Below are 18,881 nucleotides of genomic sequence, written 5' to 3'. Positions count from 1 at the left end.
TACTTGACTCTTTAAATATGGAAATCAGAAATGAATGCAGAATTCCAGCTCATCAAAAATATTTTTAGGCTCTGAATCTTCCACATCATCCTTGTGTTATCACACCTATCTCTTGTAGAAGTAGTGAGCATGCTCTTTGCAAGTCATTGGCAAAAATATTGAGTTCACACACAGGGCAGTGAACTATTTCTCTGGCAGAACACTGGGACACTAGGAACCCCTCACCAGGTTTGATATTGGTCCATTAATGGGTGTTCTTTGGATAAAACTTCAGAACAGTTAGAAACCCACTAAAATGTTCAAAGATTCTCTGTCTTACCCACAAGTGTATCATTAAAGATATGGCCACTTGTTTTGCTGAAGTCCAAATGCCTGAAAGGAAATGTGTGTCCATTGTCTTCATCGGCCAGCTCCCTACTGAGGAATGGAAATGGGCTGGGCTAACAGGACTTGTTCTTGTGAACCCATGCTGGGTCCTATAATCACTTTTTTGTCATTTGGGTGCCCATTATAGCATTGCATTGGTAATGATTCTGGAATCTTGTCAGAGATCCATATCAAGCTCAATCATCCATAGTTTACAGAATCCATTTTCTATCCATTTTAGAAAATTGGAAAGATAGTGGCTAATTTCCAGCCTTCTAAGGTCTCTTGACGTCTTCCCAAACAACAGACCTATCCTGTCCTCGATCTCAAACTAGTCCCAAATATAGCTGAAAGGTATTTTGGTTTTATTTTTGCCTTTTTGTTTCTTTGCCAGCTGTGGGTCATTTTGTCAAAATTCTGTCTGTGTTACTTTCTTATACATTTTTTTGTGTCCTTCTTCTTATTCTGTCCTTTAAAACCTGGGTTTCTAGAGCAGTCATTTGCAGGTAAGGGTGAATATTGGAATCACCTGGGGAGATTTTTAAAATTGCTCATGCTGGCTTCCCACCCTAGACAAATTGGATAAAACTTTGAGAAATAATAGAAGCATTTGTGTTTTTTTAAGACCCCAGTGGACAACCAAGGTTGAAACTATAGCAGAAGAACACAAGTAGTTTTGTTTGTTTGTTTGTTTGGTGGTTTTCACAATTGTTGAGGTTTTCTTTCTCTTTATCATTGGCCTCACCTGTATCTGCATGGTGAGATTTGAATGTTTGAGAAATTTCTGAAACATCCTGACCACAATGAACCTTCCTTCTTCATGCCTAAGGATTGTGTTTTTTTTTTAACCTTTGAATTTTATCTCTGAATCATGCTATTTTCACCTCTGCTCTCCTAAACTTTGTGAACTCAGTGACCTTTTCCCTAATTCTCTTATCTCATCCTCTTGGCTAAACATTACTTTAACCTACTTGGTCAAAATGTATCTAGGATAGTGGTTTTTCCATTTGTTTGCTCAATCTTATTAGAAATTTAGTAAGGCAAGTTTTCTGCTGTTCTGCTTTTGGCTAAATGAAATGCAGATGTCTAGAAAGTCGAAATCTCCCATCATTACCAACTCATACCTATATGGTATTTAAGAAAAATGTGCTAGTACTCTATCACCCTTTCTATTCATCCAGCTTAGTAGCCTCATCTCTATATTAGAGATTAGTTGAGCAGTTGTTAAAATACAAATTTAGGATCCAACTCTCCAATTTATAATATAATAAGATCTCAAAAAACTCCTGTTTTTTGTTTGTTTTTTTGTTTTGTTTTGAGACGGAGTCTCGCTCTGTCACCATGCTGGAGTGCAGTGGCACAATCTCGGCTCACTGCAACTTCCACCCTCTGGGTTCAAGCAATTTGCCTGCCTCAGCTTCCCGAGTAGCTGGAGCTGCAGGCACATGCCACCACGCCCAGCTAATTTTTTTCGGTATTTTTTAGTAGAGATGGGGTTTCACCATGTTGGCCAGGATGGTCTCGATCTCTTGACCTTGTGATCCACCCACCTTGGCCTCCCAAAGTGCTGGGATTACAGGTGTGAGCCACTGCACCTGACCAAAAAACTGCATTTTAAAGCTCTCCTAAGCAATTTTGATGATTAACCGGATTTGAGAAACACTGACCTGCCCACAACAATATCCCTCTATCCCTGTCTTCTCATCTGTTCACTCTTTGGCACGCATCCACCTGCAGGTTCCTGAGTTTTCACATAGACGTCTGTCTTGTTGACATAGCTTTCTATTCAATCTCTTCCCCTAACAGGCCCATTTGTCATGCTTCCATCAGTGTATTTCAATTTTGTGTCTACTTTTTCCCAAGCTTGGTGAAATAAGGTCATATTTACTGCCCTATCTTGTAAGAATTTTTTTTTTTCAGATTCTCTCCAATTCATTTTGTTACTCATGCTCTTATGACTGGCACAAAGTAAGACATCTGAAGTTATAACAGTTTTTTTCTGTTTCCCTCTGCTTAATTGTTTTCTAGTAAAAAGAAAATCACAGATAACATAACTCATTCTTATTTTTTCCTATGTCATATCTTCTGATTTTCAGAGCAGTTAGTTTTATGAATTTATCTGTGGATTTTTATTTCTCCTCATCTGTATGTTTTATTTTTAAACTTTTTTTGTGGAGGCAGGATCTCGCTATATTGTTCAGGCTGGTTGTGAACTCCTGGGCTCAAGCGATCCTCCCACTTCAGCCTCCCAAAGTGTTGGGATTACAGGGGCAAGCCACAACACCTAGCTTTCTAATATATACCTAATGTTTAATACATTTTCCCCTCTCTTTTAAATTTTCCTTGCTTTTTAAAAACTTTATGTTATGAAAATGTTTAAAATGCTGCAAAGTAGAAAGACTAGTATAAATGTTCATACCCATCACCTGGATCAACAGTGTGTCAGTTGGTTCTTTTGGAAGCAGATGTTGGGATGGAGTTAGGAAAGCAAATGCCTTGGGAGTGACACCCATAGAAGGAAATGGGAGGGGCAGGATTGGGCCAGGGGAGCTGTCAGGCGGTGATGCTGACCTGACAAAGTTTCTGCCAGCCCAGCAAGGAGGTCCAGGGCAAAGCTGGTCTTTAGAGAGGTTCTGTGTTGGCAGAAATGGCTGGGCCCTTGGACCATGGTCTTTCTTAGTCATTAGCTGGGGCCACCTGGAGAAAACTGTGACCTCTGCTCAAAAGCTGGTATACCTGAGGAAGTTAACTGCTAGAAGATGGCAGCAGATGACACTCCTCAATGCTGGGCGAAAAGCCCACTGGTACATATAACCTTCTCAGGCCAGGGTTACTGTACTTTTTAATTCACAGTCAAAGTTGAGCAATTGAGTGAGAATGGACCAATATGTATCCAAGTGGATTGCCCATGTCTACCTGTGCTCCCCAATGCCGCCATGTGTAATAGCAGATCTCTCTCTCCTCATGCTAATTAGGGTCCATTACCAGTGCCAAGATGGTGACTCCTTTTATTGCCTGCTGGTCCTTGGACATAGGAGTTCAAAGTGCCCAGGCAGGAGCCCAATCTTGTGGTTCAGTGAGTCCCTTTGGGGTCCAGGTCTTTTAACCCTGCAAAGCCCAGAATTCCATGAATGGGAAGAACAAAGCTTCCTAGTAGGTCATTGGGAATGATGGTAAGTGGGCCACTACTGGATACATCCCTTTGTTCCCAGATCCATGTATTTAGCCTGTTGGGGTCACAACATCCCACAGCATCAGATAGCGGTGTCTGATTCACTGCAGGTACTGCACCTGGAGGGTAGTGTCCCACCTTTGCTGGTGTCACTTCAGCTGCTTCCTTAGCGGGCCATTTCCATTTCTGCAGGGATCAGATGGGTGAATTCAGCAGAGCTATGTAAGGGAGCACCACCTCTGAATGTTTAGATCTTTAAGAGGGGCATTAACGTGTCATCTCCCATCCCCAAATGTGATGATGATTTTTTATTTCACTGTTTTGGCTGGGGGTGGTAGGGAGGGCAGTTACAGAGGCTTCTACATTTTCCCACTATGCTAGAGTTTACTCCAGACCAAGGATCTAAAGTGAGGATTGTCCCCATTGTTCAGTATGTCACTCCCAATATGTGTGAGAACTGGGAAAATAGCCACTGGGTGTGTCCCTGGGCCCAGTGAACTTACTGTAAGTTGGATTTTGGTAGGACTCTGTTTATTACCTGACCCCACATACCCTCACTCTAACAAGGGGCTGGGTCTCTGGAAATGTCAACTCAGACCCTGTGTCCAACTGTCCTCAAAAAGTCCAGGTATTCTCCTTTCTCTAGTGTACAGTCACCCAAGTAAATGGCCATAAATCTCTTTGGGGAAGGATTGCGGGACTCATTATAGTCTTCAGGGTCTCTCCTCCTGGGACCTCTGCAATTAACAAATTTTGGATCTGAAAGCTGCCTCAGGTCTAGGAACTGGACAATGGATCATAACTTTTTACCTGGGATGTTGGTATGGTTTGGGCTGTGTCCCCACCCAAATCTCATCTTGAATTGTAGCTCTGATAAGCCTCATGTGTCATGGGAGGGACCTGGTGGGAGGTAACTGAATCACAGGGGTGGGTTTTTTCCATGCTGCTCTCATGATAGTGAGTACGTCTCATGAGATTTGATGGTTTTCTAAAGGGCAGTTCCTCTATACATGCTCTCTTGCCTGCTGCCATGTAAGATGTGCCTTTGATCCTCCTTTGCCTTCTGCCATGGTTTTAAGGCCTCCCCAGCCATGTGGAACTGTGAGTCCATTAAACCTCTTTTTCTTTATAAATTACCCAGTCTCAAGTACTTCTTCATAGCAGTATGAAAATGGACTAATACAGGTGTCCTTTCCCAGCCTTCTGCTCATCCATCCTCCTTTTACTTTGACTCTATATGTTAAGTAGTACCCTCATTGGCTGCCTATATATTTTGCCCCTACGGATGCCATATTCTGTTAACCATCTTCACAACTGTCTGTCCTTTTGGCTGCTGATCCTGTATTGCTGGTTATTTCAATAATTGCAACCACTGGCTTCTGATATTAATGACTGTTTCTGTTTTTTCAAGGTTCCATAGTCCCTGCTGCTATCAATGAGCCAAATTTTGTGACAGCTTCTCTTTACTATTAGCCCTGGCCTGAAGAGGACAGCCACTGCTGAAATTCTCAGTGATGCTGATGTCCCTCCCGATAGGCTACCTGATTGTGTGGGCTCTAGTCCTTCTTGGTTAACATAGAACTCCAGTGGGTCTTCTGATCTCATGTAATATGTCCACTCTACCATGCCCATTTCTCTAAGCCTGTCAATCTCTTCCTTCTCCATCTCCCATGACAATTCAGGCGTTTCAACATTGCTTAGCCTGGGCCATGGCTTTTTTCCAGCCTTTTAGGAACCATCCTAGCAGCTAGTTTGTATTATTTCCTGGGGTTCTTGCTAGGTTATTAAAAGCCATAACCTGAGAGAGTGCCCCCATGTCAATGTACTCTTCTATACACAGTCTTATATTCTAGCCCCCAAATAAGAACCCTTAGAATCCAGTCTCATGGGTACTCCCCAACTCCTACTGGTGCATGTTAGCTAATTCTTGCAGATTCTTTGGTGTTACAGTCCTTCCTTTATCAGAATTAGTATGTCCCCTTCTGGGTTATAGTCAGACTTTACCCCAGCTATTGGCTTACCAGCCAAGAGGGGAAGTGGGGGCAAGTTCTGGTGGACAGAGGAATAGATGGGGCATGGTTGCCCTGAAGGTGGAGGCTTCCATAGTTTCTTAGCACAAGAAGGAAGCACTAGTTATTAGTATGGAGGAATGAGCCACCTCTGCAGGTTCTGCATTCACAGGAGTTTGGGGAGCCAAGGCATTGTGGGGTATTGTCCCCATCCCCCATGTCAGAGCCCCAGGCTTTCCCAGCCAGGACCTCAACTTTGCAACACCAAATGTGCTTAGGCTTATCTTAGCATCCAGTGTCTTGGAGCTGGGCCTCCATCTATTAAAACCTGAATTTGGTCTTTAGCTTTTTCTGCTCTGCTGCTGCAGGAGATAAAGACCTTCTTGTAAGATTCAAGGAGGCCCTCTGGCTTTCACACTTCGGTTTCAATTGTTTGTTAACTGCATTTAGCTTTTCAGTATACCTCTGTAGAGTGGCAATGCAATTTAATAACCATGAGGCCACAGTGAGCTTGTCTGCATTCTACCTTCCCCACTCCACACACACATATCAAACATCTGAATTATGGCACTGGCCTGCTCATGCCTAGCCACGGCAATATTTTCCCAGGTTACCAGGGTAAAAGTCTTAGAAGTTGGGCTACCCCCTTGTGTCAAAGACTATAGATGACCCACATACCACATGGGATGAAGTCCTCATTGCTAGTCAGTTGTGAGTGATCCAGTCCTTAAGACCCATCCTTTTAGGGAAAAAAAAATTATTTTTAGTGGTGGTAAAATATACATAACATAAACTTAACTCTTATTAAGTAGGCAGTTCAGTGCCATTAAGTACATTCACATTGCTGTCTATCTCCAGAGCTCTCTTCATCTTACAGAACTGAAACTCTATCTTGATTAAATAACTGTCTATTTCTCTTACCCACCCCAGCCTCTGGTAACTACAATTCTCTTCTCTTCCTATGAGTTTGACTTTTTTTAGATACATGTAAGTGAGATTATGCAGTATTTGTCTTTCTGTGTCTGTCCTCTCTCACTCAGTGTAATAACCTCAAGGTGCATCCATGTAGCATGTGTTAGAATTTCATTCTTTTTAAAGGCTGATTGGCATTCCATTGTATGTGTAGACTATATTTATCTATCTTTTCATTCAACAATGGACAGTTGGCCCAAGCCCTATCTTACTGCCTGCTTTCTTGGGCTGCTCCTGGTACCACCTTTGGGACACAGATGATGAGGTGGCATCAGGCTCTAAAACACCTGGGAAAGGAAAACAGGGAAGCAGAATTGGGCAGGGGAGCCGCCAGACTTCTGCACACATTTGCCAGAGTCTGCCAGCCCAACCGAGAGGTCAGGAGCAAAGATAGCCTTTTACAGGAGGCCATATTGGGCTTAGATGCTGAGCCCTGGGACCACAGCCTTGCTCCGGCATTGTCTGGAGTCTCCCAGAGAAGAGTATGGCCTTGGCTCAAAAGCCAAGGTGGATCTCAAGGAGTTCACCTCTGAGGGCCCTCCCTAGCTGCCATCTTTGCAGCTAGGCAGGGTCCTTTCTTAGAAGCAGGCCAGCCTATCTCTCTCTGCCCTAAAAAGTTTATTAACATCTGCCAGACTTGAACCATTAAAAAATTTTTTTTGTTATTCTTTCTAAAATTGTTGATTTCCTATTTATCTTTTCTTGTTTTAATTTCCAACTTTTAAGTTCAGAGGTACATGTGCAGGATGTGCAGATTTTTTACATAGGTAAACATGTATCGTGATTTGCTGCACAGATCATCCCATCACCTAGGTATTAAGCCCAGCATCCATTATTTATTTTTCCTGATGCTCTTCCTCCCCTTACCCACCCCCTACTCACAGGCCCCATTGTGTGTTGTTCCCCTCCATGTGTCCATGTGTTGTCATCATTCAGCTCCCACTTATAAGTGAGAACATGTGGTGTTTGGTTTTCTGTTCCTGTGTTAGTTTGCTGAAGATAACGGCTTCTAACTCCATCCACGTCTCTGCAAAGAACATGGTCTTGTTCTTTTTTATGGCTGCATAGTATTCCATGGCGTACATATACCACATTTTCTTTATCCATTCTATCATTGATGGGCATTTTGGTTGTTTCCATGTCTTTGCTATTGTGAATAGTGCTGCAATGAACATACATGTGCATGTGTCTTTATAATAGAATAATTTAAATTCCTTTGGGTGTATACTCAGTGATGGGATTGCTGGGTCAAATGGTATTTCTGTCTCTATGTCTTTGAGGAATCACCCCACTGTCTTCCACAATGGTTGAACTAATTTACACTCCCAAAAACAGTGTAAAAGCATTCCTTTTTCTCCACAACCTCACCAGTATCTGTAAAACATTCTTAATTGAGTCAGTGAGCTACTGGGCGAATTCTTTCTTTTCTGTCCACATGAAATTCGTTCTATTCTCAGCCAAGATTGCACCATTCTGGCATCTTAAACCATGGTTCAGCAACCTAGATCCTGCCCAAATATTGTCTATAGAGCCAACTGCTCACTTCCTCAACTTCCCTCTCTTGTTCTGAATCCCAGCTATTGATGTAAAGAAGCAATGAAAGCCTTATCTGTGCCTCCAAATCCTCAATTTCTTTCTTTCTTTAAATTTCAAAACCTTTAAAAATATATTTCTGGTCACTTCAAAGATGTTATTTGTACTCTTGAGAATAGTTGAGATGGATGTAGTTGGCAGGTGTAATAAATCTTGGGCCTTCTGTCACATCCCATGTACTCAATCCAAGAAATTCAGTCATGGCTGTCCTACAAAGACCTCCCTCCCCCTCCCTGGGATATTGAGAATCCCAATATCACAGCATGCCCCTTTCTTCTTAAGCTATTAGGGAATTCCCTTGCATTCACCAAGAACTGGTCAGACTCCTCATCATTCAACTTTTTGTCCCTGAATTTCGAGCCTCACCTTCATCGGACAAGTCTCATATCACTTGAAAGGCTCTAAGAATGAAACATTTCTTCATTTCCTTAATCTCTTCCTCTTGATTTCAGTTTTAATTTTTTCACCACATTTTGAACCCCCTGGTTTTCTTTTTGCATTGACCCTTGCATTTTCTTCGAGAATACCCCTAATATGTAGCACACAAAGAGACAGTTCTTGTGCCTTTCACCTGGTTCTCAGTTATAAACAGTGTGTGCATTTGCAGTGGATGCTTCCCCTTGGAAATGCCCCCCACAGGGTGCAAGTCACAAGGATAACCCCTGATGGCTTCCATTCCTCTTGGTTAGCTTGAGAGTCCAAAGGGAAGAATACTGGCCCTCGGGACTCTGCTTTGTAACTTCATTGTCCAGATAATGAGGCAAACAGTCTCAGACTTTGGTAGACCTTGCTCTCTGGGTTACTTTTTACAGCTATGCCCATCATTCAGTATCTTTCATGATTACCCTAGCCAGAGAAAGTCAGTGATTCTGCACCATTGAATCATCAGCCAAATAAATGTTTGCTTAATGTTGACTGAATTGTCAATAATTAATACCTCTCTGCTGTAGCTACCAGATTGCAAAACACTAAGGAACCAGAGGGAAAAGCTCTAAGGATTTCAGTGAATCATTCACCTTCTCCCACATGCCAGCCTCTGCTGCAGTGTTAAATTTAATTTTTGTCTCCCTGGGCTTAGGCCAGCAAGAACAATTCTTCTAAATTGACTATCTCCACATGCAAAATGGGATCAACATTTTTATTCGAGTTGAAAAATCAATTCTTACAAAAAAGTAAAACAATCAGTTTGACTCCTTTTCTTCCCCCTTAATTGTTGAGCTGAATTGACTGATCAAATAGTGACAGACTGTAAGGTAATGAAAAATACCACTGGCAACTAGTCACATAATGCAGGAAGCTTTTCTACGGGAATCCTGACAGATTCTTTATTATCCTGTGAGTCTGCAGGATATTTGAATACTCCCAGTGATGTGGAAGGCTCTACTTCATGGAGCACTCTACTGAGTCCATTTATTAATAATTCATCTGGGTCCAATTTCCCTGGAGTTTGGTATGGAGACATTTAATGAACACTCACCTAGTTTCACCAAAAAGTGTCCCTTCAGCTTAGTGTCCCAGAACAGAGCCCAGAAATTATGGTTTTAGATCTGTCTTGGACACTTCCTTCAGTGTCCACCGTTTTGCTCTGGAGTCCCCTCCCTCCCCTACCCAGTACCTCATGCCATCCCCTCTCCCATCTCAACAATGCCTTTTTTTTTTTTTTTTTTCCTGAGATGGCATCTCGCTCTGTCACCCAGGCTGGAGTGCAATGGCTCAATGTTGGCCCACTGCAACCTCTGCCTCCCGGGTTCAAGCGATTCTCGTGCTTCAGCCTCCCGAGTAGCTGGGACTTACAGGCGCCTGCCACCACGCCTGGCTAATTTTTGTATTTTTAGTAGAGACAGGGTTTCACCATATTGGTCAGGCTGGTCTTGAACTCCTGACCTTGTGATTTGCCACCTTGGCCTCCCAGAGTGCTGGGATTACAGGCGTGAGTCACCGCACCCAGCCAACAATGCGTATGACTTTTAAGTTGCATCCCCTGGCACCATCTCGATTCCATGCATATATGTCTCTAGAAACCTTTCCTTGTGTGCCACATATCTAGATAAGGGCCCATTGGACACCCTCCAAAAAAGCCTTCTCTACACTTAGAATCTTCCTGGGAGCGACACTATCTTTATGGTCTAGAAGGGAATGAGGAGGCTCCGTGACATGATGTCATCATGACCCCACCATCACCGGCAACCACTGTTGATTTTTTTCTTTAACTAACTCATTCATCCACCCATTCATTCTCTGTCTTAGATTTTAAGGCAACACATATGATGCATACAATAAGAAAAGAAAAGAACAATTTAAAGTGGCTATTTAAAAAACCGAAACAAAAATGTTAACAGTGGATGCTGAGGACTTTTTTTCTTAAAGATGGGACTAAAATCTAAACAGGTAGGAGGCTAAGAAAAAGCACATAGGACAACACAGTATATTTTTTCTTATAAATATATCACAAGTTTCTTTCTAAACTTTCTAGTAGGTGCTCAGTTTGATGACTAACAGGACTCATAAAAATTAATGAGCACTTATTGCATACCAAGTGTTTGCTAGGCATCACATTAGGCAAAAAGTGATACTTGAGTTATAGGATTCAATTTACAAAAACAAAAGTTCCTATTTTTTAACCATATGATTGGCAAAGCTAAAAAAGAATGATGATAACTGGAATGAGGGGGAAACGGGAGCCTTCAGACCCAGCCATGGGGACCGGCAAGCGCTGCGGTCTTGCTGCGGGGCTTTCTGGCATCTTGTATAAATACATCTTTTGGCCCCGCAATTTCATTTCTAAAAATGAATCCCACAGAAATGGGTAGACAAATGTACAGAAATATTGTCAAATGATATTTATTGCTGTCCTATTTTTAATAGTGAAAATTGAAAACAATCGAAATGTCCCTGAGTTGGCGACGTACTGAGTAGAAAGCCATGCAGGAATTAAAAATGAGCTGTAGCTCCCGGGCCTGTCGGGGGATGGGGGCCAAGGGGAGGGAGAGCATTAGGACAAATACCTAATGCATGCGGGGCTTAAAACCTAGATGATGGGGTGATAAGTGCAGCAAACCACCATGGCACATGTACACCTATGTAACAAACCTGCGTGTTCTACACGTGTACCTCAGAACTTCAAGTAAAAAAAAAATGAGGTGTAGCTATGGCCACACTGACCTGCAGACATTCATGATGGATACACTTTTTCAAATGTTAATAGATAATGTATAATGCACTAAGATTTTTGTGAAAAGACAAAAAACTACTTGAAAAAATATCTTCAAGGATATACATTTGGAGGTTAATAGTGACTGTTTAAAGATGGTGACATTATATAATTTTTGCTTTTTTCTTTATGCTTTTTAAAATATCATCTGAATTTACATGACTTCTGTTATCAGAAAGCAAAAGAAAACCTTGTTCATGCCTCTCAGAGATAATCGAGTTTATCCAGTCCAGCCTCCTTATTTTATAGAGGAGGAAACTGTGGCCCAGAAAGGCGGTCGTTAAGATTTTTGTGGAATTTCTGAAAGTCACTGTGATGATCGTGTTGGTGCTTGCATGGTACCAAGAGGTTCACATGAAAGAGGAACACTGGGGGATGCTCCGCAGCATTCACTCAACCAGCAATTATGGCTCAACCTTGGCTCTTGTGCTTGACATGGGAGGAACTCTGAGAAAACTTGGAGTGTAGTCTCTGCATCTCGCAGCTTGCTTTTCATCTAGTAACTAACAATCACAGCAGTGAAGCCTTCCCAGCAGGGACGCTCCCACCTCTGAACCCTCTCAGTGGTCCCTGCTGACCCACCTGGAGTTTGATCCACCACCCCCCTGAGTTGCTGTTCATCTCCGGGTGGATGCTGCAACCATCCCCACCCACACCACCAAATGTAATGTATGCTGAAAAAGAGATTTGCCCTGTTTCATGTCTCTACATCTTCAGCAACTAGAACACATTTGTGCTCATGCAGGGCAAGTAATAGAACACTGGCCTGTAAAATGGAGAACCCAAAGCAAAAATCCTGTACAACATTGTGAATATGAAAGGAAAGCATTGGTGTCCCTGTGTGATGTGGTCCATTGGGGAACTGGATTCGCTTTTCTCAGGCTCAGGAAACTGGTCTGATTCTGATTCTGTTTTGTGTTGGGTTGCCAGGAGGAGGGGATGATGGAGGCGGTTCTTCCATAAATCCAGGCTTGGAGATACAAGCAATTCCTTTTACTTCAATAGCACTGGTGAATCATCTATTGGAACAAGGTTTTTATTCTCCTCACCTTTAAAAAAACATATCTCCATAAAGCATTTGTGACGAAATAAATTTCTTGATGGTCTGGTGTTGACAGCTGGTATTTTAGGCGCCCTGCTAATGCACTTTGTTTTGCCGCAGTGTGGTCTCAGGAAGCCTAAAGCTAAAGAGAATTGAGAGTGGTCGCTGGCAAAGACCTCTGCTAATGCAAATGTCCCGAGAAGCTGACTGTTCATCTCAGAGCTTGGGAGTAGGGGTAGAGGTAGAGACTTTATAGGCTTGGTCCAATTAGGACCTGAGTTATCGGGTCCAGGCCTTGAAGGAAAAGACAGACACAAATGCAATGCTGCTCATCTTTGCTCTGGAGGGTGCCTGTGAGCTGGCAATATCTATGTGCAATATCCAGATTTTGTGGAAAAACCCTAGAAAAGCCTCTGAGTTTGTCCAGAGCCCTGTAGCCCAAAGCCTATTCCTTATCCTCCCACCCCCAAAACTGGGTAGGTCAGAGCCTGTTTCATGCCTTCTTTGCCCCTACTTTTCCCAAGCCTGGGCTTTAGAAGCATACTCTTTTGCATTCACAAATATCCTCAGAGATTGTCTTTAACCAGTAGAGCAGCACTGAAGCTAGGAGCTGAACAAGATGGAAAAGGGTACCACATTATAAGAACGAGGATCCTGAGAAAGACCATATCCAAAATCGCCTGTCCACACATGGACACCAATGCCTGGCATTTCCCTCTACAATCACACAGCCCTTTGTTCACTCATAGTGTCAGGCATTGCGTGGCCAAGGATTTACTAGAAAACAGATCCTCATAGGACATAGACAGGCTGATGAAGAAGCAGATATTCATCAAAGGGTTGCAGCGATAAATGCATGGTTTAAAAACACAGTAAGTGCACAGTGGAAAGGTACATAGTGCCAAAGGTTAAAAAGTAAGGGTGTTGGCCGTCCCATGGACATCCAGGGAAGGACTTGTCATTCATGCTTGTTCCCTTTAGTTCAAGGAACCGATTCCAGTTACAATCAGCACAGCCCGTCTAGGGTGGGGCCTTCAAGAACGAGGAGAACAGGTCTGTGATTTGTTGGATGCCTGCTTTGTGATGGGAGCTTCACATTCTCATCCACATGATTCTCAAAAAGCCCAGGAACGTTGGGCCTATTACCCATGACAAATGAAAACCTAACTTCAGAAAGGAGAAGTGAGTTGCCCATGGTCAAATGCCTTGTGAGTTACAGAACAAAGATTTAAGCCCAGCCACATTTTAGCCAGTAGCGATTTGTTTACTCCTTAGTGGAAAGGGATCATCTGAGGAACTGTTTCTCTTCTGGAGCATTCAGGAGGACTTGGAGGGCTGAGGGCAGGAGGAGTGAATGGGGTTCCCAAAGAAGAAAGGAGGAGAGAAAGGATGCATAATCAAGACTCTGATCAATTTAAAGTTAACTTTGGATTTCACAGCAGTGTCAGTCCTACCTGATCCAACCGTCTGAGGGTTAAATGGAAAAGTATAAAGCTCTTGCCATAGGTAGAACACGCACTGCTCTGATGGTTACAGGGGGCAGGGCATAGTAAATGTGTTGACCCACTGGCAGGTACAAACACCAGCTAGTCAGAAAGGATGGCAGCCTCGGAGCCACAGGAGGCCCTGCTGCCCCGGCGTTAACCTTCAGCCTTTGAATCGGAGGTCCTAAGGTCCTGGAGAGAGGAGGCCCCCAGGATAGGGGACATGGGCTAAGGATGGGAGGTGAGGGACAGTGTCTGTTTACCAGGTGGTACAACTATATTTCAACATTTTAACAACCGCACCTGGACCCACCTATTGAACAACAGCCCCGGTAACTGTTATTTTAATTACAGTTTAGCCAGAGGTACAAACAAAAACAAATCAACCCCCACCGCAAACAATATATCAATGCCTATTATTTGGAATCTGGCCTGAAGTCTTGTCTTATTTAACCCATAGAGTAATTAAAAAGAAATACAGGCCAACCTTCAAAATTGAGTAGTTTTACAGAAGAATTCAAAAGTCTGTTTGCCTTGTAAAAAGCAAATCACAAAATCTAGCATCTTAGGGCCCACAGTTTGCATGTGGCAATGGCCACCTGGAGCTGAGGAGAGGCTGCACCCTTATACAGGGTGGGCTTCTCCAGGGTGATAGGAACCCTAGTTCACCCTGTTGTCTGCCTGGCCTTGGGGTCCAGTGTGGGTGGCCATTCAGACTGCACCCTTGTCTCATCACAGAAAATGATTTCCCAGGCTGGGCATGGTGGCTCACACCTGTAATCCGGGCACTTTGGGAGGCCAAGCAGGCGGATCACTTGAGGTCAGGAGTTTGAAACCGCCCTGGCCAATATGATGAGACCCTGTCTCTACTAAAAATACAAAAATTAGCCAGGTGTGTTGGCATGCGCCTGTGATCCCAGCTACTCGGGAGGCTGAGGCAGGAGAATCACTTGAAACTGGGAGACAGAGGCTGTAGTGAGAAGAGATCACATCACTGCACTGCAGCCTGGGTGACAGAGTGAGACTCCATCTCAAAAAAAAAAAAAAAAGATATGAAAATGATATCCCCAGGCCTAGTGCCTATGTCTATAGCAAAATAGCAAGAGAGGGACAGAAGAGCCTGAAGAGCAGGCTGTTTCAGGAAACTTTCAGGCAAAAGTATATTTTCTCATGGAATAGAAAACTCTTCCTACTCACTTTTCATATCACAAAATTGTGTCTTGGCCAGAACACCAGACTCATCTGACTTTACTCACTGTGCCCCCTACCTGGCTTTCCTGGGCCTCTGGGCTTGTGACCCATCATGGACCATGTTCCACTTGGCTCTTCTGATGCTTCCTCTGCCGCCTGGCTTGCATGGAACTGGAGACACGAATCTGCATTTTAACACAGTGATCCTGCTGCAGGTGGTCCAGGCATCACACTTGGAACAGGGCTTGGCAAACTCCTTCTATTAAGGGCAAGACAGTAAATATTTGAGGCTTTGTGCACCCTGTGGTCTCTGTCACAACTACTCAACCCTGCTGCAGTAGCTCAGAAGCATCCACAGACAGTATGTGAACAAATGAGCCCGGATGTGTTCCAATACCCCTTTTTTTTTTTTTTAACACAGGCAGCAGGCAGGCAGGATTTGGCCCATGGGTTGTGGCTTGCTGACCCCTCTAGAGCAGGGGTCCCCAACCCCTGGGCCACGGGCCACTACTGATCTGTGGCCTGTCAGGAACCAGGCCACACAGCAGGAGGTGAGCGGAGGGTGAGTGAGTGAAGCTTCATCTGTATTTACAGCCGCTCCCCATCACTTGCATTACCAGCCGAGCTCCGCCTCCTATCACATCAGCAGCGGCATTAGATTCTCACAGGAGCGTGAACCCTATTGCGTGTGAGGGATCTAGGTTGTGGGTTCCTTATGAGAATCTAATGCTTGATGATCTGTCATTGTCTCCCATCACCCCCAGATAAGATCATCTAGTTCCAGGAAAACAAGCTCAGGGCTCCCACTGATCCTGCATTATAGTGACTTGTATAATTATTTTATTATGTATTAATAATAGAAATAAAGTGTGTAATAAATATAATGCACTTGAGTCATCCTGAAACCATCCCCCCACCCCTGACCCCTAACCACTCTGGTCCATGAAAAAATTGTTTTCCACGAAACTGATCCCTGGTGCCAAAAGGGTTGAGGACTGCCGCCCTAGAGGATGCATGAGATAACCGAAGATAGTGTCTGGCACATGGTGGTATCTCAGCCCCAGCTCCTCACAAAAGCAAAGCTTGAGACAAAGACTGCCATGCAGGCTGAGTGGCTTATTTAGGAAACATAGCCGAGACAGGGGCACTAAACAGGGAAGGAGAGAGATTCAAAATGCAGATGTGTCATTGAGTTAGCTGCCTCTAGGGCAACTGGAGGCTTGCTCCCCAGGACTCTCTAGAAGCGTGATGGAACATGTCTCAGAATCTCTTCCTCAAGGGGCATAGATGTATGGGATTGTTTCTGTCCTGTATTGACCAAGGTCTACCCCTAGGGTTGTCAACTCTTTCTCATTGCTTTATCTGTATGTGGGCTCTGCAGAGGTTCTAGAAACAGAGGTGCTGGGGACGAACGTGAGAAACATGAGGTATGTGCCTACGGTGAGGCATGATGAGGCTGTGCCTGCAGGAAACCTACATAAAACCAGTTGTTGAGGCAGCAACTGGAATTGAGAGCGAGGGATTTGAAAAGCAGTGGATGGATAGGTCTGGCTCAGTGACCATTCATTTATGCTGAGGTCAATTGTGATGCGGTTCATTATTCTTAGGAGGGAACCGAGGGGGACAGCAATGGTTTTCAAGCTTGTCACGCTTGGAAATGGTGCCATGTGGTGAGGCCTCATGGAAAAATCAGCTGTAGAGTGCCCTTTTAAGAACTGCTAAGCACTAGTTGATTAAAACATGTAGACATTACTTGTTTCTTTTTAATTTCCATCATATAGTTTATTTACGTAAATATTTATTAAATGTAAATCATCGTAACAATCCTGTAAGACAGTGATCATCATTCCTATTTTACAGATAAAGCTTGAGCACAGAAAAGTGAAATAACTTGCACAATGTAACAAATATTTCCTTTTTTGCCTTTTAATTTTGAGACAAGTTCTCTCTCTGTTGCCCAGTCTGGAGTGCAGTGGCATGATTACGGCTTACTACAGCCTTGACCTCCCAGGCCCAAGTGATCCTCCCACCTCAGCCTCCTGAATTGCTGGGACTACAGGCATGTGTCACCACACCCACCTGATTTTTAAGAAAAAAATTTGTAGAGACAGGGTCTCCCTATGTTGCCCAGGCTGGTCATGAACTCCTGGGCTCAAGCGATCCTACCACTCTGGCCTCCCAAAGTGCTGAGATTACAGGCGTGAGCCACCGTGCCTGGCTACAAATATTTCTTGTCTCTTTGTGTGCTAGGTGCTTCAGTTACTAACTAGCAGAGGGAGATTTTAAATCCAGGCCCTCTGATTCTATGTTCTTTGTTTTTTCTAATAGTGATTTGGAAGGGAATGGAGAGACCACTCACCACTTCTTCTTCTCCTTCTCCTTCTCCTTCTCCTTCTCCTTCTTCTTATTGAGATGGAGTTTTGCTCTTCTTGCCCAGGCTGGAGTGCAATGGTGCAATCTTGGCTCACCACAACTTCCGCCTCCTGGATTCAAGCGATTCTCCCGCCTCAGCCTCCTAGGTAGTTGGGATTACAGGCATGCGTCACCACACTTGGCTAATTTTGTATTTTTAGTAGAGACGGGGTTTCTTCATGTTGGTCAGGCTGTTCTCAAACTGCCGACCTCAGGTGATCTGCCTGCCTCGGCCTTCCAAAGTGCTGAGATTATAGGGGGAGCCATCGCACCCAGCCCAGAGACCATTCACTTCCAACCTTTCACCCAGTAAAATAATTTCTCTTGGTGTACCCCTGGTGATGAGGGGAATGCTAACTTACCTGTCAGCTCATTTTATTTCTAAAGTGTACTTAGTATTCATTTACATCTTTCATCAACCATTGATTAGAAGCAATTTGGACATAGGAGAGGATATCCAAGTCATGGTTACGTGGTCCAGAAGAGAATCATCCACCCAGCAATTTGCATGGCATGTACGGGATCCTTAAAGCAAGGCCACTGGGTAGAGAGGGATCCTGAGAGGCTGAAAAGCAGGTAAAGGAGGGTGAAGACAGGTAAGCAGAGCTGTGCAGTAGCCTCAGAAGTTCAGACTCTTGGGAAAACCGTTGTCTCCCTTAAAGGCATGTGACTCCTTTGAAAGTCACCCTTGTTGAGCTTGGAGAAAGTGCTGGAGAAGAGAATGCTACTGGATTCGCTCCACCAGAGCCCTCTGAGTCACACTTAAAATTAGATGGGGCAGTAAGAGTGTAGCTCAAGGGGAACTGTATCTGCCTAAATTAATGCTGACCTTGTTGGAATAACTCGCACTCTTCAGTATCTGCAGCTGTGGAGTCCCGAGGGAGTTGTCTGGCTACATGTGATTTTACATATCTGACAGCTAAGTCAGAGATCCAAATGCCAAATCCTGCACTCAGGAACATTATGTGGATTTGTGACACTCCCAAGGGGACTTTGGATCCATAAAGCAATGAATGGATTACAATGAGGCATAAATATAGCATTTTCATCTGTGACATACAATCTTGCTCTATTATTTCTCACATTGTTATGTGAAGGAAATCTATACCCACTCTCTCAGGTCTGTTCTCAGAAATTAAAAGAATGAAAAAGAGGTCTAAGAAAAAAAAAAAGCCTCTTGATGCATCAGGAATAAACTAAGAATAGGGTGTGGTAATTCCATGGAGGTAATTTGCAATATAGGGTAAACTCTGAGATCACGCGCATTATCAGGAAACAGCGATCTCAGGCCAGCATGTCAGCTCAGTCACCAACTAGCCAGTTGGCTTGGAGCAAATCACTTCATCTCTCTGGTCCTCAGTGTCCTGATTTGTCCAGTGGACTTCAATGTTAAAGGCATGTACTCTCAAGAATGGGCAAGATGATCCAC

Source organism: Homo sapiens, chromosome 6 (genome assembly GCF_000001405.40).
Source record: "Homo sapiens chromosome 6, GRCh38.p14 Primary Assembly".
In the NCBI taxonomy this organism is placed as follows: domain Eukaryota; kingdom Metazoa; phylum Chordata; class Mammalia; order Primates; family Hominidae; genus Homo; species Homo sapiens.
Note: the sequence above shows the minus strand (reverse complement) of the source record.